This window comes from Homo sapiens, chromosome 6, assembly GCF_000001405.40.
Source record: "Homo sapiens chromosome 6, GRCh38.p14 Primary Assembly".
Classification (NCBI taxonomy): Eukaryota; Metazoa; Chordata; class Mammalia; order Primates; family Hominidae; genus Homo; species Homo sapiens.
In genome coordinates, this window is record NC_000006.12 from 75,903,880 (window position 1) to 75,928,164 (window position 24,285).

The 24,285-nt window shown below is 35.9% G+C and overlaps 2 protein-coding genes across 16 annotated transcripts in view; one reads left to right on the forward strand and one right to left on the reverse strand.

The window, feature by feature from the left end:
- Positions 1–15,658, forward strand: part of MYO6 (myosin VI) — a 170,299-nt gene extending 154,641 nt beyond the window's left edge. For 7 of the 14 annotated variants that reach the window (NM_001368865.1, XM_005248721.5, NM_004999.4 and 4 more), the window contains 5 exons: positions 3,726–3,829; positions 4,617–4,748; positions 7,793–7,819; positions 10,184–10,402; positions 10,934–15,658. In NM_001368865.1, the coding sequence (NP_001355794.1) occupies positions 3,726–3,829; positions 4,617–4,748; positions 7,793–7,819; positions 10,184–10,402; positions 10,934–11,133 (682 nt within the window). In that variant the 3' untranslated portion in view covers positions 11,134–15,658. The remainder of the gene's footprint in view (positions 1–3,725; positions 3,830–4,616; positions 4,749–7,792; positions 7,820–10,183; positions 10,403–10,933) is intronic. The other 7 variants (NR_160538.1, NM_001368866.1, NM_001368137.1 and 4 more) reach the window with 1 other exon arrangement.
- The window catches only part of IMPG1 (interphotoreceptor matrix proteoglycan 1), a 151,549-nt gene continuing 144,498 nt past the window's right edge, over positions 17,235–24,285 (reverse strand). For both annotated transcript variants that reach the window (NM_001282368.2, NM_001563.4), the window contains 2 exons: positions 19,755–19,827; positions 17,235–18,287 (listed from right to left, as the gene is read on the reverse strand). In NM_001282368.2, coding sequence (NP_001269297.1) covers positions 18,210–18,287; positions 19,755–19,827 — 151 coding nt within the window. In that variant the 3' untranslated portion in view covers positions 17,235–18,209. The remainder of the gene's footprint in view (positions 18,288–19,754; positions 19,828–24,285) is intronic.

Genomic DNA, 24,285 nt, shown 5'->3' on the forward strand with positions numbered 1-24,285 from the left:
CATGTTTAGCGCTTCCTTCAGGAGCTCTTTTAGGGCAGGCCTGGTGGTGACAAAATCTCTCAGCATTTGCTTGTCTGTGAAGTATTTTATTTCTCCTTCACTTATGAAGCTTAGTTTGGCTGGATATGAAATTCTGGATTGAAAATTCTTTTCTTTAAGAATGTTGAATATTGGCCCCAACTCTCTTCTGGCTTGTAGAGTTTCTGCCAAGAGATCCACTGTTAGTCTGATGGGCTTCCCTTTGAGGGTAACCCGACCTTTCTCTCTGGCTGCCCTTAACATTTTTTCCTTCATTTCAACTTTGGTGAATCTGACAATTATGTGTCTTGGAGTTGCTCTTCTCGAGGAGTATCTTTGTGGCGTTCTCTGTATTTCCTGAATCTGAATGTTGGCCTGCCTTGCTAGATTGGGTAAGTTCTCCTGGATAATATCCTGCAGAGTGTTTTCCAACTTGGTTCCATTCTCCCCGTCACTTTCAGGTACACCAGTCAGACATAGATTTGGTCTTTTCACATAGTCCCATATTTCTTGGAGTCTTTGTTCGTTTCTTTTTATTCTTTTTTCTCTAAACTTCCCTTCTTGCTTCATTTCATTCATTTCATCTTCCATCGCTGATACCCTTTCTTCCAGTTGATCGCATCGGCTCCTGAGGCTTCTGCATTCTTCACGTAGTTCTTGAGCCTTGATTTTCAGCTCTATCAGCTCCTTTAAGCACTTCTCTGTATTGGTTATTCTAGTTATACGTTCTTCTAAATTTTTTTCAAAGTTTTCAACTTCTTTGCCTTTGGTTTGAATGTCCTCCCGTAGCTCGGAGTAATTTGGTCGTCTGAAGCCTTCTTCTCTCAGCTCGTCAAAGTCATTCTCCGTCCAGCTTTGTTCCGTGGCTGGTGAGGAACTGTGTTCCTTTGGAGGAGGAGAGGCGCTCTGCTTTTTAGAGTTTCCAGTTTTTCTGCTCTGTTTCTTCCCCATCTTTGTGGTTTTGTCTACTTTTGGTCTTTGATGATGGTGATGTGCAGATGGGTTTTTGGTGTGGATGTCCTTTCTGTTTGTTAGTTTTCCTTCTACAGACAGGACCCTCAGCTGCAGGTCTGTTGGAGTACCCGGCCGTGTGAGGTGTCAGTCTGCCCCTGCTGGGGGTGCCTCCCAGTTAGGCTGCTTAGGGGTCAGGGGTCAGGGGCCCACTTGAGGAGACAGTCTGCCTGTTCTCAGATCTCCAGCTGCGTCCTGGGAGAACCACTGCTCTCTTCAAGGCTGTCAGACAGGGACATTTAAGTCTGCAGAGGTTACTGCTGTCTTTTTGTTTGTCTATGCCCTGCCCCCAGAGGTGGAGCCTACAGAGGCAGGCAGGCCTTCTTGAGCTGTGATGCTTCCCAGTTGGAGCTTCCCGGCTGCTTTGTTTATCTAAGCAAGCCTGGGCAATGGCGGGCGCCCCTCCCCCAGCCTCACTGCCGCCTTGCAGTTTGATCTCAGACTGCTGTGCTAGCAAGAGACTCCGTGGGCGTAGGACCCTCCGAGCCATGTGCGGGATATAATCTCCTGGTGCGCCATTTTTTTAAGCCCGTCGGAAAAGCGCAGTATTCGGGTGGAAGTGACCCAATTTTCCAGGTGCCGTCTGTCACCCCTTTCTTTGACTAGGAAAGGGAACTCCCTGACCCCTTGCTCTTCTGGAGTGAGGCAATGCCTCGCCCTGCTTTGGCTGGCACACGGTGCGCGCACCCACTGACCTGCGCCCACTGTCTGGCACTCCCTAGTGAGATGAACCTGGTACCTCAGATGGAAATGCAGAAATCACCCGTCTTCTGCGTCGCTCACGCTGGGAGCTGTACATCAGAGCTGTTCCTATTCGGCCATCTTGGCTCGTGCCTCCACATTATTCTTTAGCTAGTCTTATATGTAACTAAGAATCACTATGTCAAAGAATTTTAAGTATGTAGGATGAAGTATGCTATTTTTTATTTTCTAGAATGAAAGCATACAGAGACCTTTTAAAGAAGCAAGGGCACCTTATTTATTTCATTGTTAAGCTTAGTATTGAAAGAATAATTTCCTTTACTTCAGGAAGAAAGTGACATATTCTCAGACATCATTTTTCAATTAAGTATGTGTCTTCACTGCTTGCCAGGATGGCTGTTATCTTTCAAAATGTAAAAGACTGAGAAAATACATGTTTATTTTCAGGTATTATATCTTGATCAATCCTCTTTAAGAGGAAGTATATTTTAGGTAGTAGGTGGATAATGGAGAATTTCCTTGTGTCACACCTAAGAAGCAATATTTTTGTTCTTTAATAGTTAGTTAGTTTAATATTTTGTGCCACCTTCTTTTCATGTCTTGAAATGTGATGTATTTAAACGCTTCTCGTTACCTTGAGCTTAAAGTCTTGCAGCTTATTCTGAGTGTCTGCTATTTGCAAGTGTAATCTTTTGCTGAAAAATAAGTTTATTATTACAGAAAAGAAATTGTTCCCATATTTTCTGATTAATGATCTCAAATTATATGCATAAAAGTCTTAAAGGCCAGGTGTGGTGGCTCACGCCTGTAATCCCAGCACTTTGGGAGGCTGAGGTGGGCAGATCACTTGAGCTCAGGAGTTCGAGACCAGCCTGGGCAACATGGCAAGACCCCATCTCTACAAAAATTATAAAAATTAGCCTGGCTTGTTGGTGGGTGCCTGTAGTCCCAGCTATTTAGGAGGCTGAGGTGGGAGAATTGCTTGAGCCCGGGTGGTGGAGGTTGCAGTGAGCCAAGATTGTACCACTGCACTCCAGCCTGGGTGAAAGAGCCAGACCCCTTCTCAAAAAAAACAAAAAACAAAAAACAAACAAAACGCAAAACCAAAAAAGCAGGCCTTAAAGCACTGCGTAGCACTGTTTTGAAAAAGTTGAATTTATTTCATTTTATTGACTGCTTTGGATTTTATTTCTTTCCTCTTTCCCCATATGTGCTACTAAATGAGTCATGATACAGCACTTGTGCCCTTTGAAATCTCTGTTATTTACCTCATGAGCTAAAACCTCTTGAATTTACTAGTTTTCTTATTACTTATGAGGGTGTGTTTTTTGTGTGCTTATAGAACTTTTCTAAGTGTTCTTATAGCAGTGAAGCCTACAAAGTAAGAGTTTCCAGATTCCATCCGTTCTTTTAGCTGACTTGAATGACTCTAATGCAGTGGGTTGCAGGTTTGGCTACTTACCTATGTACTCTGTAAACATCCAGAGGCCCAGGGATATTCTGAGCCACTGTGTGTGAATGGAGTTTGGCCATCTGTAGATTTCCGCAGTCTCTCCAGGTGATCGCACTGTGCAGCCTCATTGCTCATAAACAAAACTTTAATATGCTTTTAATGATCTTTCAAGTGTGTTGAGGATTTCTTTCTTGATTTTGAGGAATATATGTCAGTATATTTTTCAACTTTAAGTGTTCGTATATATATTAGTAAAAACATTGAAACTGAAGTCTGGGGGAAGTTTGTGGAACTAGAATATTAGAATCAAAAGTTTGGATTTAAAATCTAATGTGACTATCGAGTGGCATGCTGGAAATTTTTAATTTATTTGGCCATCTTTTAGTATGCCATTCTTAATCTCATCTGTCAAAGAAACAAAAATTATGTTTTTCTAGTAGCTGTTTCCGGTTTTCAAACTTATGCATGCTTTCTTGCCTCTTTAGTCAATGTTTTCTTCATGTTTCTGGTTTAAACATGCAAAAATGTGTAATAATTACAGAGGTCCTGCTGTACTAGCCACCAAAGCAGCTGCTGGTACTAAGAAATATGATCTTAGTAAATGGAAATATGCAGAACTACGTGATACCATCAATACTTCTTGTGGTAAGTGTTTGGAGAAGATCAAAAATAGAAAATGTTCATAGTGATAGGTGATAAATACCTAGATTAGGGTGAGGTGTGTGTGTGTATGTGTGTGTGTGTGTGTGTGTGTATGTGTGTATGTACATATAATACCTATATTATCTGAATCTTTTGGTCCATGAATGCACAGTAACAAATGGCAATGCAGTGCTTTCTTTTTAAGGCTATTTTTCTTCCCACAGAACAATTAGAGTAAAATACTATATCCAGAGGATCCCACATAGTTATGTTCTTATTTAAATCACAGTGTTTGAGTTCAGAAAACTATGAGTAGGAACGATGAATTCAGAAAACTATGACTAGAAACAAAAGTATCATAATTGTACATAATTTCTCACTACACTTTCCTCCATTGAGTATATCTGCATAATTATAAAAAATGTCTTGCTTGTAAATCTAGTTTGTATTTTATCACAGTGACTTTTTATTCTATTGTCAAGACTTGTTGCCTTCGACAAATTGCTTAATGTTTCTGATGCAATTCCTTCATATAAAAGACCTGTTTAGTTCAGAGTTCTTCTGTGGAGCAGATGATATAAGATAGTAACACTGTGTAAAGAAATGATCTGTGAATTTGAACAATAATATTATAAAATGCTTATCCTTATGAATAATTAGCTTACTTTTGATTTTGTACCATTAATTTAAAAATAAAAAAATCTCCTTATGCGACAGAATAATTATATCATTATGTTAGACGAATAAATTAACATGTCAATTTTTTTTTTTTGCTCAATGTAATCAATAGATATTGAGCTCCTGGCAGCTTGCAGAGAAGAATTTCATAGGAGACTAAAAGTGTATCATGCTTGGAAATCTAAGAACAAGAAGAGAAATACTGAAACAGAGCAACGTGCTCCAAAGTCTGTTACTGATTATGGTAAAGAGAAATCTGTACTTTTGAACGTTTTAAAATATATGTATATAAATGCATGTATCTGTACTTAAGACATGGGTAAAATGTCCCATATAAATTTTCTCCTATTTTAGAACTGTGAGCCATTGAACCTAATACAGCCTTGATGGCCTATCTTTTATAGCGTTATTTTTATGAGTATGTCTTTAAACTCATACTTGTTAAGATATATTGAATTTACTATAATTGAGACAAGAATTTTCTTGTCTGAAGAGGGTGTGCATGCATAATTTTCACACACACAAACACGTGCACACACTCACAAGATTAAATGTGAAAATGTCAGGATTGCCATGCATCTTTTACCTTACATGTGAAATGAATTTTACATATGAAAATGAGTTGCTAAAAAGGATGATGGTTAGTTTTTATTTTTAAATTTTCTATAATTTTTATTTTTTAAATAAATAGAGATGAGGTCTTGCCATTTTATCCAGGCTGGTCTCAAACTGCTGGGCTCAAGCAATCCTCCTGCCTTGGCCTTCCAAAGTGCTAGGATTATAGGCATGAGCTACTGCTCCCACCCCTTTTTCTAATTTTTAAAATTTAATGTAGCTCAGTTTTTAGAAATAGTTCCCTGAAATACCCAATATTGTTATCTTTTTTATTTGTAGGTATAAGTACTTTTCTGTTGCTCCCAGAATAGGGTTATAGCCTGGAAAAAGAAAGGAATTGATTCATGCATTGTCCATTTACACTCTAATTCCTTTGTTTCAAAAATAATTTTACTGCAAACATTATTTTACAATACTGCAAATATATAAAAGTGAGAAATATTACCTTGCTTCAGACTAGTGTTTTGCCTAGATCAAGATTTGATTTTTTGATTGGGATCCTGAACATGGATTTTGTTACTTTGTTATGCAAAAGGCCAAGGTGTATACTTGAAATTGGAAAGTAGAGTAGAAGAGATGTAACCTAGTACAAGCATGCATGAGCTTTAACATTAACTGAGAATACGTGTGATATGCGAGTTGTAATTTCAATCTTTAAAGCAATAATTGGACTTACTGTGTTCAAATTGGCACAATTTATTCGCTTAATTCTGGTTAACATCAAGGTGACAGCAGATTCAATATTTTGTGTGTTTTTTTCCCCTAAGCGGTATATTCCCAACAGTTGATAGTATAGTTTAGCAATGCAGGACCCAAATTGACTTAAAAAATGAGTTCTTGGTTATATTTTGCTTTCCTCACTACCTTCCAAGTAAATAAAAGCAGTGTTTAAATAAAGTCAATTTAATAGTGGAATTCTAGTGTTTCTAAGTTGTTGCAAAGAATAGATTGAGTGAGGGCAATATTATTATTAATAGGGGTAATATTAGTGCCAGTTATTGCTCCAGGGGTGTCAGTCAGAATACAGGACTATGCAAGGGCAGTGGGAGATCACTTGTAACCAAGAAGTGGCAGGTGGAAGCCCCACTAAATATTGTGACACTGCTCTCTTCTCCAGTTTCATATTTTTCCTCTTCTAATTGAACACAACAAAATGATTACATTAGCTGTTCACTGTCTGTGTAGTGAGTTCTGACCACAGATTACCTTTGTTTTGCAAAAAATGACAGTGAGCTGTTCTTTTTAGCTGTAAATATTATAATTACTAACTTTAGCTTGACAGACTTTCATTATATTGTATTTCAAAATTAATACATCTGAGTGATCACACTTCTTAAAAAGAGGTTCATGTTGTAATATTTGGCACACACATTTTAAATTAATGTACACATATTTATTGTATTTGTGACTCAAACTTTGATACCTTATTCATCTAGCTTTACCCAAAAAAGTTGCAAATAATACGTGGCTCACCTTGCTGGTTCAACTACTGTTTCTGTTTGTAATATATTATTTAAGAAAACAAAAGAGTAGATTAGGAAAGCTTCCTAAGGGTTCTATCAAGGTTTATGGACAAATTTAGGAATTTATGTGAACACAACCCCACACATACATATTAAGCCTTCAGAGAACTTGATTATGAGTCATTTTCAGGATATATTTTATCAAATGTAACTTCTGCTCTGAAAAGTACTTTTTTTTGCTTTTCTCTTTCTCTTTATGTTCTTCCTCATACAAAATTCATCTTGACACAGGAGCATAGCTAAAAGCAAAGGTTAAAGAGCACCAAGAAGCTCAATTGAGAAAATTCTATACTTAAATGATTTCCTAATGTGGCAGCTAAACACCCTTTAAAAGGAAGTGCTGTGTAGTCTAATATTTAGAAGGAACAATTCATTAATTTGAGAAAATAAAATGATGACAACTTATGATTAACAAAAATGTAGCTTCGTATTGTTGACTTAAAGAGTAATAGGTTGACAGCTAATGGTAAACTCTTAAAATAATGCATAAGGAGCCTCAGACCCTCTTCCTGGTACAGTCCTGGATGAGCATACTTTCATCTCATTTACTGCAGAGGGAGATTTTTTAGAAATAATTTTTTGGTCAGTGGCAAATCACCTAGTAAATATTTATAGTAATTAATTGTTTAAAACAATGATTTTGGAAAGTAGTTTTATTTTATAGTTTATAAAATAAAAATGGCATGAGTTTAAGATTTAGAGAGTTTAAAAAAAGCAAAACATACTGTTACCAAAACGTAGTAACGTTTTTACTCCTGTAATGTATATAATTTTTTGATGAATTCTCATTATTTTCTATGAAAATTCTAGTAATGTATGAAAGGTACTATAATGTCTATTAAGTCATTGTATTAGGTTTTTGTTTGGATATGTGTTCCAAAAATCACAAATGAAGTATGATTTTTTAATTTTGGTCCTCTTTATATGTGCTTCAATCAGAATTTCCTAAGCCTAATGAGTCAAAATAGCCTTTTAAAAAAATCAGAAAGCAGCACCTGCTTTTAGGTAATTCTGAGAATATTTGGCTTGTGGATAGGATATTTACTTTTCAGTCACCACCTCGATTGGAAGGCTTTATAAATTAGAAAAATGCTCATTTAACAGTTTTGGCATTTTTATCTTTTCTTCAACATAAAATATTTGTTCACAGATTTTGCACCATTTTTGAACAATTCACGTAAGTCAATGGGTGGTAACTCATGAGCTAACTGGAAGATGGGTTAAAATACTTTACAAAGTACTAACTTCTATTAAAAGTTGTTTTGCTACAATTTTCAGTGGAATTGTAGTGTGTTAAAGTTGTTATATCCATACTAAGATATATTTTAATTTGAGATGATGCTTTATTTGGATCACTCCAATATGTATATGTATTACAAAAAATCTAGTGAAATTAATGTTTTATCAAATTACTTGCATTAAGAAAATGACTAGCATTTTAAACTGAGAGTATGTACAATTCTTATTGTAGCAAAACTCTTAACATAGCAGCTGACCTTTTAGAATAAAGACTAACTTTTAGGTGCTGGTTTTTGGTTACTGTATTTTCAAACACTGATGGTGTCTGCATTTCTGCCAAAGGTATTTTAGTTTTATAGATAATGTGATAGTGTATAAAGGTTTAATAATGATACCTCCTTAAATAGGAAGAGGAGATTATTCTGTTACGTTTATAGCCTCTTATGATACACATTCTTTGATAATTTAAAAGCTTTGAGTCACCTTAGTGCACAGTAAATCTCTTGTAGAATTAGTTGATTAGTAATGATTTGGATATAATGTCACATTCATTTGCCAACTGGTTGGACCTGATGTTTTGAAGTGCTTCTTATAATTTATAAGGCTGTATTTGAAGATTACACAATTGAATGTGAAGGAAAGTTATTTAGAATATTAGTTTCAAGCTTTTAATGTCTGTGTCTTTGTGTTTTTCCAGATAAGTATTCGTTTCTAGTCTTCCCCAACAAAATTTCAGTTCTCCTGTTAGTAAGAAAAGCTATCAAAGACTTTCTATTTAGTTTCTGAATTTTATCCAGTATCTTAACTTACAGGAGACTTACTTCAAATTAAAAAGTAGGTTAATTAATGAATGACTATCAGTATCATGGTAAATTTCCTGTAAACTGGACATTAAATTCTAATTCACTACTTTAGATGGAGGGAAGGTTTTTAAATTCTTAGTTTTGAATTAGTACATTTTCAACAATGTAGGGAGTTTTGAAAACTTAAAAGTAGAAACACTGAACTGTAAGTAGCTCTGGGAAAACAGGAGCAAAAGAATAGATAAGCAGATGTCTGTTAATATGTGATGCAGCTTTTAAAGTTACTAACAAAACCGGGCCTCTCGTTCCTTCATAGGGATATATAGCTTTGCTAACTGCTTTTTGCTTTCTCTGGTTTGCAAAGAAATAAATTCAACTGCTATAAAGCTTTTGCTATTTCTTGGTGTAAAAAGTAGAGTAAGAGTATTTTCATCCTTTCAGTATTTGCAAATTCTTACAGAAGCCATGTGGCTCTTCTTGGCTTTATATCATATGTACATTTTACAATATTTCTTTGACACACTTGGATTTTCATAGTGAGACTCTTAACTGAGCTGCTGTAAATGGTTGTTCCACTTTTGAAGTTCTGTGAGTATAAAACAGATTAAACAGGCTAACCAAAATTATGCTGCTAAAGATGTAAAGTCATTGCCCCAGGGAAATGTTTACATTTGCAGATAAAAGAAAAACCTAATTGTTAAGTAATGAAAATTGAGCTAGGAATGAAAGATTGATATGAATGAAATGCCCAGTACTAGTAGAAAAGCAAGGATTTTTCTTTTCTTTTGGCAAGGAGAATCAAATGTTACATACTTTGCACTTCATTGGATTTTATTCTAAGAGAAATCTGATTTCAGAGTAAGTAAATATCTTTAAGGGAAAGTTTATGCTTACTGTTATAAGGTTTTTTTTGTCATATGGTTGTCTAAATGTTGTTAATATCTATGTCATTGTGGTCATTTTAAATCCTAAAATTTGTTGGCAAAAGAAAAAATTTTTATATGGCTTCTACTTTTTGTGGAAATAGTGATTAAACTGACAAATGTCTACATCCTTCAGATTTTTGAAATTACTGTTTATTTTGTTCTATCATAAATAGTTGAATAAAAGTTACTGTACAAATTTGAACTCTTTACAGGAAGAATATAAATCTAGTAAATAATAGTAGTTTGTTTTCCTGCCGTGTGAGTTTATTTTAGGTTACTGTTACAGTGATTTGTGGGAATCTGACAGGGGTTTGTTGCTGGTAGTGGTGGTGGTAGTGGTATGTGTGTGTTTGTGTTGGCAATGCTAAGAAACATCTTAAGGGAAAGACAATTCTAAGAAGTAACACTCTGAATTTTATTAATTTGTAGGCAATAAATATTTTCATTTTGTTTTAAATTTACTATTAGGGACCTTTCTTCTTTTTAAAAAATTATTGGGGTATATTTTAGGATTAAAGGCTCTTTTCTTTTCCCTTGAGCTGCTGGTATAACTTTCCTTGTTCTGTGTAATAGCTCAGCAAAACCCAGCAGCTCAGATTCCTGCCAGGCAGCGGGAGATTGAAATGAACCGACAGCAACGCTTCTTCCGCATCCCATTCATCCGCCCTGCCGACCAGTACAAAGACCCTCAGAGTAAGAAAAAAGGCTGGTGGTATGCCCATTTTGATGGACCATGGATTGCCCGGCAAATGGAACTCCATCCTGACAAGCCACCCATCCTACTTGTGGCTGGTGTGTATGATTCACATGGAAAACAAATTATAGAACAAAAAAGATCATAAACTCTCTGAATGAAACATTCTAATGTATAATATAATAATTTATTACATTTCAGGGTTGAGGGATGGAGTCTTGCGGTTAAATCACATTTCCAGTTCAGTGAGGATTAACTCATTTATAATGTGAAATTGCTTGGATTAAATTATGTTCTTAGCACATAGAAACTTGTCTGTATCCTAAAAACCTTTCCATTTGTGTTTCATCATATCCATTGATTTGTAGTGGCTTGAGGAAATGTAGCATTTTTATTAACTCTGGTAACTTGTTTGATCAATAGCAGTGTTTATTAATATTGAAAGGGTCCTTGATGGGGGACAAATTTTAATTGTTTCTGGTGATTTTATTAAGCAGATTTCCATCTTAGAGAAAAAGTCTTAGGAAGTTTTCAAATCTATGAGAATTAATAGGTATTTCAGGCATACAACTGGTAAGAAATGGTCCTGAAGAGAGAGATGGTAATTTTCTGATATCTCATGAATACAGGTAAGGACGACATGGAGATGTGTGAGCTGAATCTTGAGGAGACTGGCCTGACTCGGAAGCGTGGTGCTGAGATCTTGCCAAGACAGTTTGAAGAAATCTGGGAACGCTGTGGAGGCATCCAGTACCTTCAGAATGCGATTGAGAGCAGACAGGCTCGGCCCACCTATGCAACAGCCATGCTGCAGAGTCTGTTAAAGTAGATGTTGCACACCAGCCTTACAGCTGGGAGCCTTTGCCATGGTACTTAGGTAGGGTGTGTGCCCCCAGATTTAACCATTCCATAATCATGTTAGAGTTACTTCTATAAAGTGAACAGATTTTATTAATCACGGCTTTTGGTGAATTTGTTTAAGGTTAATTATGGTAGCAAATTTTGGACCTAAACATTATTTTTCTGTATCCCGCTGTAATTCCCAAAACTCTCATTATTCTCTAACTATTACACATGGGCATATTCTGATGTTTCTCATCCTTTGCCAGAAGACTACCTTACATCCATCGTAATTGTTCTCTAGGAAAAGAGAACTTTTTTCAAAATTCAAAATACTTTTTAAGGATGGCACAGTACCATATAACTGGAGTAATAAAACATGAGCTTACATTCTTACAATAACTAAACCACTTAAAATGATCAAGGCACTAATGTTTTGGTCTGAAAAGCTGTGTACTTTATAGACATTTTCAGACATTTTTGGAAATTTCCATTAAAGGTGGAAAATCTATTTTTTTCCTCCTTTGCAGTGTCTTAGTTTGAATGAAACACTTCGAAGTTCTAGAATTCTAGAAAGAGCCTTAATGTATTTGATGTATTCTGTGATAAGAGGTACTAATAGTATCCAGCACAGATTTGCTTTTCTTTGCTAGCACAATGTGTGTTGCTGTCAGAATATTCTTTTTATATTCTGTGGAAAAATAAAGGAAATTCAGATTGTTTAAATGCCTAAAAGTTTTGAGATAAGTTTTGTTTCAATTAGAAAAGGAAATAGGTTTTAGGTGGCATAGTGGCTTAACTGGACTGAATTCAAATATTCTTTCAACTTCATCTCAATAGTGATTTTTGTATCAGAATCTTGTCCAAGTTGTTTCATTGATTTAGTAAGTGTTCTGCTTCCAACATCTTTCTTTTTAAGAAATTCCTAGTGTCTTTTTTGGCCTTTGAGGTTTTGGTAATTGTAGACCTGTTTCATAAGCTTTGTAATTCAGAAATCCTTGTATTTAGTAAGTGCTTGTTTTACATAACTGATAATTTTAAAATGTTTTCTTTGTGTGCTGTTAGTATTGATTCAAATGTCAGCAGCTTTAAGCCTAATATTTATGACTTTCACATTTGGAATTTAAAGACAAAAATACATCAAGGAGTTATGCTGACATAATTCTAAGGAGTTTTGTTGTATTTTAGAATAAAATTATAAAGTAAAATGATTCTCTGTACTGCTTTTTCCCCCAGTTTTTAGAGACCCTAACCTTTGAAATGAAATTCCAGTGATTTCTTTTTTCCCTAGAAAGATTACCTCAGTTAGGGAAGTATTTCCCAGCTGACTAGTGTTTGTGAGCCACAGACACTGTCTTCAGAATTGCTTCTCTCATGTCTTAGTAGAGAAATATTTATTTATTATGATACATTCAAATGATTGTCAAGTTAAATTAAATGGTTGTGTCTGTGCTATTGAGAATGCAAATGTGATTATCTTTTGAAGGCTGTATTACTGCATAGCTTCACCCACCCTCGGGTCATTTCGTCCCTGTGATTGGGGACAGAAGGTGTAGCTACTGAAGTAAATGACCTATTCTCTCTCTTCCATCTCTCGCCTTTAACTGGTGTTTTTATTTGTGTAGGATAGTGAATGATAAGCTTTTTTCCTAACCAGTAGTGAGTAAAGTTCTTGAACAAAATTTAGTAGCCAAATTGTTTTTTAATGACATGTCTCTTTAGTACAATAGTTTTGTGTATCTTTTAGATACATTAATAGGCACTAGATGGAAAATTAAAGAGTTAAACATATTTAAATGAGAGAATCTAATGTTTCAGAAATTTGTAAGAAATGTATCACAGCAAAGGGTTGTTATAAGTCCTTAGTTTTTGACTCTAATAGTTAATACAATTATAGTTAATCTTAAGCCATAATGTTTCTAATCATGTCACACAGCTGTCCTAGAACTTATCTATTTAAAATAGTTTCCTGAGTTAATTTTGGCCAGCAGGGCAACTGCCCTAATTCAGATAGATTTACAGTAACCTACGTACAGTAGATGCACATACACACAGACACCCCTTTGCTGGAGAAACTTAGGACCCTGTCAGCCTTTTAAAGGAAACAGCAGGAGTGGTGTCCTAAATGATGTTCATGCAGCTGCTTTACCATGTTCACAGTCAAGCCCATGCATGCCAGGTTAAAACTGTGGAAATCAAAAGTAAATTCACTCATATTTTAATCATTTTAACTGAGATTTAAAATTAGAAGTTTAAACCACTATATATAAAGAACTAATCTTTTCTTAATACCAGTTCTTTCCATAGCATATGCTTTGCAAAGGCAGCATGCATAAAATATTTAAAATGAGAGGACAGAATGTTTTCACATTTGATTCAATTTTAATATAATTCCTAATTGTGGTAACACAGTTGAGATATGTATTATGAGTTATGGGAACTAATTGAGAAAAGGAAGTTACTCTAATCCACGTATGTTAAGAGAATATTGAGTTTTCTTAGTTGTAAAGTTGGGGAGATGGCACCTTCTCAGAGGATTGTGAAAATATGAGGAAGAAACAAAACAGTGCATGTAGGAGCACAGGGCCACACAAAGGCATTCTATTGTTATGCTCATTCTGCTTCTGTAATGACTTTTCATAGGTCATTCTTGTGAACCATTTTGTTTTGCAAGCAACCAAGGAAAGAACATCTTAAGTGGAAAATCAGTGGTGGTTGTGAACACTTAGAGAATAGCAATCCACAGGCAAGAATAATGGTATTGTTTGTAGAGCTTTATTAATTGGATATTTTTTAAAAGACATTTTCATTCACAGGTCATTACTATGGTTCTCAGCGATCCAAATATGTAGATCATTGGTTTTTTTTTTTACCTGAAGTAGCTTAAGAGTACTTGGATCAGTAGAATAAATATTTATTGAATCAATCAGTCAGCCAATTAATATGATGTTAGTGATAGACCTGCCTCCTTTTATGGAAGAGGTAACAGATCCAGAGAGGTCAAGTAATTTAGTTGTAGACTGAAAAATATATCAAAGCCTTTGCTGCAATCATATGTAACAAAAAGAACCAAAACAAACACTTTTTAGTGGCACCTGTGGATTTACAAAGGGTTGCCTCTCTGTCATTCCACAACTTCAGAAGGTGTGACAGGTTTTCCCTATTTATCATTACCAATAATAACAAGTATTGAGAGTTTTAAAATTTCTCCCAGAAGATAAACTAACAAGGATGGAAGGGGAGGGCAAAGGATATCTAAACATGAGAATAAGGACATGTTAGAGGGGGGGAAACAGTTGTAACAATAAGGAAAGAGAAGAGCAACAGTGGAAGAGACAGGTTGTGTGCCCCTAAAGATTCTGCACCCCCAGTTTGGAAACACTGATACATTTTAGGACACAGAGCACTCCTAGATCTCTACGAAATTTTAGAATGAATAATGTGTAATTTATAGGATCAGAACGTATGGTTATTAAAACTTGGATCAAGATATGCCCGGTGTATACATTCTTAGCACATAGGAATGGCACTGCCATACTGGAGAAGGTCAGCAGTAAATAGGCATTCTGTACATAAGCCTCATGGAAGGGTAAGATGGAGAGACTGGCAGAAGTAGCACCTACTCTGCTGGGAGCACTTCTCTGAGTACGCTTTAGTTCAATTCAAATCACTGTATTCTTTCCCCATTGCTAACCTAATATATGAAACAAGCTTAGCTGTCTCAGAAGTTTTTCAAGAGATGATCAGGAAAAATTAATGCACATTCAAAAGGAGAATCTTCAGTACAAATTTGTTTTTTTAAAAATAGATTTAGGGCTGGGCGCGGTGGCTCACGCCTGTAATCCCAGCACTTTGGGAGGCCGAGGCGGGTGGATCACGAGGTCAAGACTTCGAGACCAGCCTGGCCAACATGGTGAAACCCTGTCTCTACTAAAAATACAAAACATTAGCCAGGCGTGGTAGTGGGTGCCTGTAATCCCTGCTACTTGGGAGGCTGAGGCAGGAGAATCACTTGAACGCGGGAGGCAGAGGTTGCAGGGAGCCGAGATGGCGCCATTGCACTCCATCCTGGGCAACAAGAGCGAAATTCCATCTCAAAAAATAAAATAGATTTAGGGGGTACAAGTGCAGTTTTGTTACATGGGTATATTGCATAGTGGTAAAATGTGGGCTTTTAGTGTACCTAACACCCAGAGAAGCATACATTGTGCCCAGTAGGTAATTTTTCATCCCTAAACCTTTTCTCAGCCTCCCACTTTCTGGAGTCTCCAATGTCGGTTATTCCACTCTTTATGTCCATATCTACACATTCAATCCTAATTTGTACCAAGTAGCATCTCACCTTTAAATCACAGGCTTATTAGTTGGGTGTTTTCTTTTTACTTATGAAAATTCATCTAGTCAAACTGTCAATTAATTTTTCCTCATTTCATTAAAAGTGTATATCTAATGCTTTCTCTAAAAATTGATGTACTGGAAATACAAATAAATAAATGCTCCCTGTGTAGAATTTCCACTTGCATCTTGTGCTTTTAATACCATTACAGGGTGTCATGAACAGGTTGTAAATGTTGCACTTATTGCCGTGTTTCAGATGGAATAAGTTGGCGAATTCTGGGCTCCTGAAGCTTGATCCAGTCGCTAGGGCTGGAAGCACTGTGTTAGGTGGCTGCAGGAAGAAGCAAGGAACTCAAGGTGATTGAAACTTCTTTGGACATAGGCCCCAAATTTCCTATGTGATCTCCATCCAGGAAACAGGCAGGATTCTGTGTGAGTGACAGCTACTCATTTTGTAGAGATTAGAGACACACCAAATTTTGGCTGCCTTTCTCCAGACCGTTACTAATCTGTGAGAAGACACAGGATGTAAAAACTGGGGACCAAAAGAAGGCTCCTTCTCCCTAAGGCCTTGAATATAGCTGGTCCATTCCCTGTGTCAAGAACCTACCATGATCCTGCTGGGTCCTCTGAGAGTGGAAGGAGACTCTGTCCATCTCACCTCATCAGCTCTTCCCTGGCTGGTTGGAAAAGACCAACCCAAAAGAGGGGTGATCCAAGGAGTGAGAGACACTTACCACAAAATGGGACCCTCCCCACAGAATATAGGGCTTTTACCTCCTTCTCTTTCTCCATAGAAAACTACATTTCCTATACTAGTTAGAGCACAAGTAGTATAGGGAATGTAGGGGGTGAGGACTACATTATACAGGAGTGATAGTGATAGATCCTTGTTTCTCCTGATGAAATGTTTTCATGTACTTTTGGTCAGCCTATCATGCTTCTATCATTTGTTTTCCTTTGTGAAGTTCCAGGGATATGGAAGTGGGTAGGTAACCTCTTGCCACCATTCTTTGTTCTGTGGCACCTTGTCATCATATTTCACCTTGAAGTCCTTGTCTCACATTATAGATCTTCACTTTGGTATGCACACACCAAAGTTAGTGTGAGGAAGTAGTCATTGAAGTTATTATAGGACGACATTGTTCATCTGTGGTGGAAGACAGGATTGGTATGGGAATGGTGATGAAAGCTAGGTGTTTGTGAGGGTTTGTAACCCTCATGGGGCACTACCACTTCCCAAAAAATTGTCTCCATTATTAAGAACATTTTGTTTTTATGTGTGTGTGTGTATGTGTGTGTGTGTGTTTGAGACACAGTCTCACTCTGTTGCCCAGGCTGGAGTGCAGTGGCGTGATCTTGGCTTACTGCAACCTCCACCTCCTGGGTTCAAGCGATTCTCCTGCCTCAGCCTCCTGAGTAACTGGGACTGCAGTCACGTGCTGCCACACCCAGCTAATTTTTGTATTTTTAGTAGAGACGGGGTTTTGCCATGTTGCCCAGGCTGGTCTCAAACTTGTGACCTCAAGTGACCCACCTGCCTTGGCCTCCCAAAGTGCTGAGATTACAGGTGTGAGCCACTGTGCCCAGCCTGTTTTTATTTTTGAAGCTTAATGTTATATGTTGCTCTTTGTGTTTACTATTTTGTTGTCTTTTGGCAGCATTAAAATTTTCATGCTTAAAATCATTTATTGAATACATAAAACAAATCTAAAGACTATCTACTAAAACAAAGGCTCATTAAAAAACCTATGAGTATATCACTTTTACTTTATTGAAATTAAGGTTTGTAGCAAATATATCTGATATTAGAACATTTGAAAGAGATAGAGACAGATTCATTTTCATTAAGCAGCACATAAAAAATGGACTGAATTGGATTACATTGATGCCAGTCTAGGTATACACACACTAAAGTTGGTGTGAGGAAATATTCTGAAGTTATTATAGGAAGACATTGTTCATCTGTGGTGGAAGACAGGAATTGATTATGTCATATAGTACAACTTCGCCCTTCTCCCAACATAGCATCTTCTTTAAAATAGCTTTGTGTAGTAACAAGAAAAGTAAGATTTTTCCATGGTATGTGTATCTGAACCTCAGTTTCTTTTAAAGAACAATTCAAAGATTATTGGCAACAAAACAGTCTACTATGTAAGCAGTAGTTGCGTATAAAACTAGTGTGCCTAATAACTGAATACTGAGGTTTGTGTTTATCAGACGTAGTGTGGAGCATATATACACTCACTACAGTGCCTACACACTACATACATTCATGCGTTTAGAGAGACCTGCATCTCCCTGCGTAAGTAGTCATCTTTTAAATGTACTTTCTAGCATATAAAGAGTTTGCTTCCCAATAAATTGTTCAGTCCCTAAACAATAAGTAAGCTATGCTTGTTGCAAATGATCTGTGAGTAAAATTTTCAGGGAAGGTGGAAGCAAACCTGGCTTATGATCATTTTGACTATCATCCAAGAATAGTAAAAATATGTTTCGCTGATTGCATTTGGGGTTTTAATAATAAGTAAGTGTCTTTTTCTTCAGAATTTACTGGTTGCCAAGTACATGACTCTTCTATATTTGAAATATGGTGTGTGCTGATTCTCAGTGTTGACTGTATGTCTGGATTTTGATGACCCATGAATATGCCTGTCTCCATTTTCCTTGAGAAGGCAAATCATCTCTCTTGAGATAGCCTAAATGATAATTGTACATTTTCAGTTTTTAATTTCCTTCCCAATCTTGATGGTTAAATTCTTCATATTCTACGGTCAGTAATTCAGAATTTCTTTTACTGATTACCTGAAAGAGAAATAGTTTTAAGAACTTAAGAAATGCCACCCAAGGTCAAACCAATGGTTCATTCCAATATTACTGCCACTGGTAGATAAGAGGATGTGCTTGCCATTTATGACATCTTCTTTGAAATGTTGAAGATGGCCTCAAAATATTCTTAACTTTATAACCTACTAGAAATGTACTCCATGCCCTCTTAAGCCTATTTAGATTCTCAGGCTGACCCATCTCATAGAGCAGGAGTGGCAGATAGTCTGTGAATGAGTCACCATTTTCCCATCCAACCATAGTAGACACCATTAGTGTATTATAGCATGCTTCCTCAGGGAACCCATGTGTCCTCTGAATGTCTGTCAACACAGAAATCCACATAGCCAGGAATAATCAGCATTGATACTTGTTCTGGCCTTGAACTAAGATGTAGTTCTTCAAGTTTACTTCCTACTGTGAAAATTATCACTTCCTTTTATTTATTTGAAATGTGATCCATAATTCTATCTGGTACTTCGGGATTTAGTTGGACATTTTGTCAATATCAGATCCTGTGTCCTATTGTCATTTTATGGCCCTAGTCTAAACTTTTTCTGTTTTTCCAATTTTCTTTGTTTCAGGAAACCAAAGTGGCACACATTCCCAGTGTGCACTTGGATACATAAAATTATTATTAGCATTTGGTGTGATTTCCCCAGTATCCTTATCATATATTAACTATGATAACTTTTGTAGGTGCAAACTTTGAGGCATTTTTTTTTTATCCAGCACTGTAGACTTTAGATAAAGTAGACATTGGCTGATTATCACCAATTGTTTCTATCAAAGACTATAATTTTTGAAAATGGGTAGTTTTAGGCTAAAGATTGTCCAAGGTTTTTTCCCCCAAAGTTATTTTAAAAAACTATGTCAACTATATATAAATTGCTTATAGACAAGTTATTTTCCTTTGTAAAATAAAATTATTTTAGTAAAATAAGTTGATTAAGTGAATATTTTAAGAGATGTCTTGGACACTGAAAAACATCTGAAGATGAACTTTTACGAATTTTTGAAGTTACTCATTGTTCACAAATGATGTTTCTTCATATTTTCTACATATTTTTCCTTTAGCTGATTATTATTTGAAATTGAAAGTATATAAAATTATTCAATGCCAGGAATATAAATTATTACTGTAAAGATTTCAACCTTAAAATACATTTGATAAATTACCTGTATATTTTTATAAGAAAAGATTGGAAATATTATAAAATACTTGGATTGATTTTGTTATTCTGTTGTTTTATCTACACATTTTGGTTAATCCCAGCCTTCTGACTCTATCCTTGCACTAGAAAATGTCACCCCCTTAAAACAGTAAATTAAAAATAAAAAGTATCTTGCTTATCTCTATTTAAAATAAGAGGGACATAAATGTTTTTAATTTCCTTCAAAAGTCAAGTTTAGTAATTGCAACCAACTTAGAAAGTATGATTTTACCTTGTTATTTTGTTGATTTTGGAACTTTTTAACACTAGTTTTGTATGCTTGATTTTCAGAGTGATCTGGCAACCTACAAAAGAAAGCAAAAACATAGTATCTTGTTTCTTGGGCTTATCAACATTAATAGTAACTACATCTTTCTACTGTTTTAGTTTTAACATCATGACAAGTGAAAATAGATAGCATATTTTTGCAGGTGTCTTCCGTTTGAGTTGGAAGAAGTGTGCTTTCAGCATTTCCCCTGACTTTTGCCTTTTAGTTGGCTTACTATTTCTTAGGCAGTGGTCTCAGAAGGATGGAAGGATTACAAAACATAGATTTATTTCTCAAGTCAAGTTCTGAGTTGTGGTTGCTGAAAAACAACTCTGTAATGGCATATTGTTAATAAAATTTAAACCACAATAAACTGTCACCTTATTCCAGTTAGAATGGCTATTATCAAAAAGCCAAAAGATAACAAATGTTATCGAGGATGTGGAGAAAAGGGAACCTTTATGCCCTGATGGTGGGAATATAAATTAGTAGTCATTATGGAAAACCATCTGTAGGTTCCTAAAGAAATTAAAAATAGGACTACCATATGATCGAGCAATCCCACTACTGGATATCTATCCAAAGAAAATGAAATCAGTATATCAAAGAGATATCTGCACTCCCATGTATATTGCAGCACTATTCATAATACTCAAGATTTGGAGTCAACCTGTTGTTCATCAGTGGATGAATGGATAAATTGTGATATATATGTATTACATATATAAAAAATTATATATAATTATATATAATATATAATTAATATAATTATATAATATAACATAATTATATAATATAAATATAATTATATATTATAATATAATATAATTATATAATATAATTAATATAATTATATATTATAATATAATTATATAATATAATTAATATAATTATATATTATATATAATTAATATAATTATATATTATATATAATTAATTATATATAATATATAATAAATTATATATTATATATAATTAATTATATATAATATATAATAAATTATATATTATATATTATATATAAATAATTATATATAATATATAATATATAATATAATTATATATAATATATAATATATAATATATCATATAATTATATATAATATATATAATAGAATACTATTAAGTCATAAAAAGGATGAAATCCTGTTATTTGCCACAACATGGATGAACCTGGAAGACATTATATTAAGTGAAATAAGCCAGACACAGACAAATACTGCAAGCTCTCACTCGTGGAATTTAAAAAGCTGATCTTATAGAAATACAAAATAGAACAGTAGTTACCAGAGACTGGGGAGGGGAGGGAGGAGGGTATCATGGAGAGAGATTGGTCAGTGGGTACAAAGTTACAATTAGGTAGGTGGGATAAGTTCTGGTGTCCTATTGCACAGTAGGATGACTGTAGTTGTATATTTCAAAATAGCTAGAAGAGAGGATTTTGAATGTTTTTACTACAAAGAAAAGATAAATGTTTGAGATGATGGGAATGCTAATTACCCTGATTTGATCATTGCACAATGTATACATGTATTGAAATATCACATTGTACCCCATAAATATGTACAATTGTGTGTCAGTTAAATTTTTTTAAATAAAATAAATATTTTTAGACCTTTCTATATACATAATTTCTGTTGATAGTGTATATGCATTTTGCATTTTGTGTTTTTCCTCTTTGCATTATAAAATGGGTATAATATTTAGGAGCTATCTTCCTATATATATATATTCCCTTATTCAACTTTTTTCTTTCTCTCAACATCAATTTATTACAATTTCAGGGAAATGGAGAAGGACAGAAAATTTCAGTCCTAGTGCTCATGGGAAGAAGGCAGAGGAGAGAGGAGGAAAAATATAGTTTAAGGAGGTTGAGGCCAGGTGCGGTGGCTCATACCTATAATACCAGCACTTTGGTAGGCTGAGGTGGGAGGATTGCTTGAGCCAAGGAGTTCGAGACCAGCCTGGGCAACACAGTGAGACCCTATCTGTGTTTTTTATTTGTTTGTTTGTTTTGAGACAGTCTCGCTCTGTCACCCAGGCTGGAGTGCAGTGGCATGATCTTGGCTCACTGCAACCTCCATCTCCCAGGTTCAAGCGATTCTCCTGCCTCAGCCTCCGGAGTAGCTGAGATTACAGGCACATGCCACCACGCCCAGTTAATTTTTGTATTTTTAGTAGAGACAGGGTTTCACCATGTTGGCCAGGATGGTCTCGAACTCCTGACCTCAGGTGATCACCCACCTCGGCTTCCCAAAGTGCTGGGATTACAGGCGTGAGCCACTGTGCCAGGCCTGTATTTATTTATTTGTTTAAAGGAAGTTGAGTAACAAGTTCCTTGTTCCCCATCCCACCACCTAAGGCAGCATTTTCGGTTCCTATTTGTCCTGGTTGGGAGATTTGGAGGCTTTGAGAATGCCAGGGAAGGGGCAGATGCCTGGGATCAGAACTAAGAGATCACAGGTGAGGGGAATATGGAACTAGAAAACTTCCAGGAGAACTGTCAAGACCAGGAGAGCCATACCTCACTGTATGTTCCAAGCGAACTGAGTTGTCTAAAGTGATTGCTCAAATTATTAATCAGGTGGAAGTTTGAACTACATTAAATTGGACTATATAAAATTCCAACCCCTTCCTCCTACAAACCTCCCCCGTAACCGAACCTTCCCACTATTCAGTGGAGAAAGAGCTCCAAAGGGAGTTGGTAACAACTATCCAGAGGGAAAAAAACTAGACCTCCTTTTCTCCATTTGAGGTGTAGCATGTGAGTGAACCTGTGACTTTGCTGCGGTTACAACAAGCACTTTGATATGATTAAAACATCCTCATAAATGTCACTGTGTACCATCATTTACTGAAACTGTCCCCTATATTTAGAAACAATTTTCATTATTATGAGTAATGTCACAGCATAGTAGGCCTATGAAATTAAAGGACAAAAGTGAGAATGTTAAGGCCTGAGAAGGAAAAGTCAGAATCTACTCTGTTAGATTTAGATTTGCATTTTTTGTGTATGTATACTGATAATTGTGAGTAATAAAAGCCTAACTGATTACACCAAAAAAAGGAAGTTTGAAGTAAGTTCCTAGCATGGCAGAATCTATGTATACAACATCTAAACTTGAGGGAAATGTAAAAATATATGGAGTATAGTTACAAATATTGGATGGAGGAAAAGAATAGAAGGAAAAATAAAGGTGAAAATGTAATGAGAAACAATGACAAGTAACTGAAGCAATGGAAACTGCTCTTTGTGTGTCAATGGTAGTCTTCTCAGGAGGGCACCTGCCTTCAGTATCATTTCCCTATCTCATCACTTTCAGGTAGAATAACAAAAACGCAGCTAAATTTACAGTTCTTTAGAGAACGCTGTTTTCAAAGTTGCAGCACTTGGTGTTCTCATGGATTTGCTTCTGAGTTTAGGTTTAAGTGCCAGGTAGGGATTCTTAGTTTTTCCTTACAGGGCTGCCCTTTGTTGACAGAAACAGCTCCAATAATGCTAGTAGTGAGTAGCTTACACTGAGGGGCATCTAATTTATTCCTTACCAAAAACCATGAATTTATTCCTGTTATTCCCATTAGATAGATGAGAAATTTGAAGCTTAAGGGCAGGGGGTGGGGAACTGGCTTAAAGTCATACCTAGTAGGGGGCAGAGCTCTTAACTTAAATTTGGGTCTAACTTTAAAACCTCTAATTGTAACCAGGGTCTAATCTATGGTTGATTGGGTTTTAATTTGTCAGCTAATCCTTATATAAATAAATTTCATCACATAAATGATAGCATCTTGGGATGAACAGAAATAACTGATGGGAGGAGAAGCAGGTCACGGAGATGCACAAGGGACCCTCAGAGCACTGCTGTGGTCCCGTTTCTTCACTGAGAGTCTGTCTGAAGTAGCTCATAGGGGCAACGGGTTTGTCCTCATGCTGAGGGTATCAGGGGTTAATACTTAACATTTAAAAAGGAATATTCAGGAAGTTGAAAAGGGCAAAATTGGGGTAATAAGGGCATTTCTCCCTTCTTCCTGAAGAAATTAAGCATCTTTCCCTCCCTCCCTCCCTCCCTCCCTTTCTTCCTTCCCCACTTCCTCTCATCTATTGCCCAGCATCTAGCAGGGTGCCTGGCACATGGTGCTCAAAAATGTTCATTTCATTCCATTAGTCTAAGGAGCGTCAATTTTTCAATGTATTTGAATCCCTCAAGTCCATGTTATGCCCCAGAGACAGGCACAGGTGGAGGAAGTAGAGCACCACCAACCTTTTTGAGAGGTGTTTATTTCCAGATCACCTTATGCCTTGCTTTACTGATCTCACTTACGACAACCTAGAATTAAAGTGATCTTTCTCACTAAAGAAAGAGAAATGTTTAAAATTACGAATTGTACAGCCATCTGAAATAGCAAATAGGGCTGATTAAAATGAAAACGGAATACATTCCTGTTCACAAAAGCCGCATGCAACCCTCTTCTTATTCACTTTAATCCAGCCTGTTCA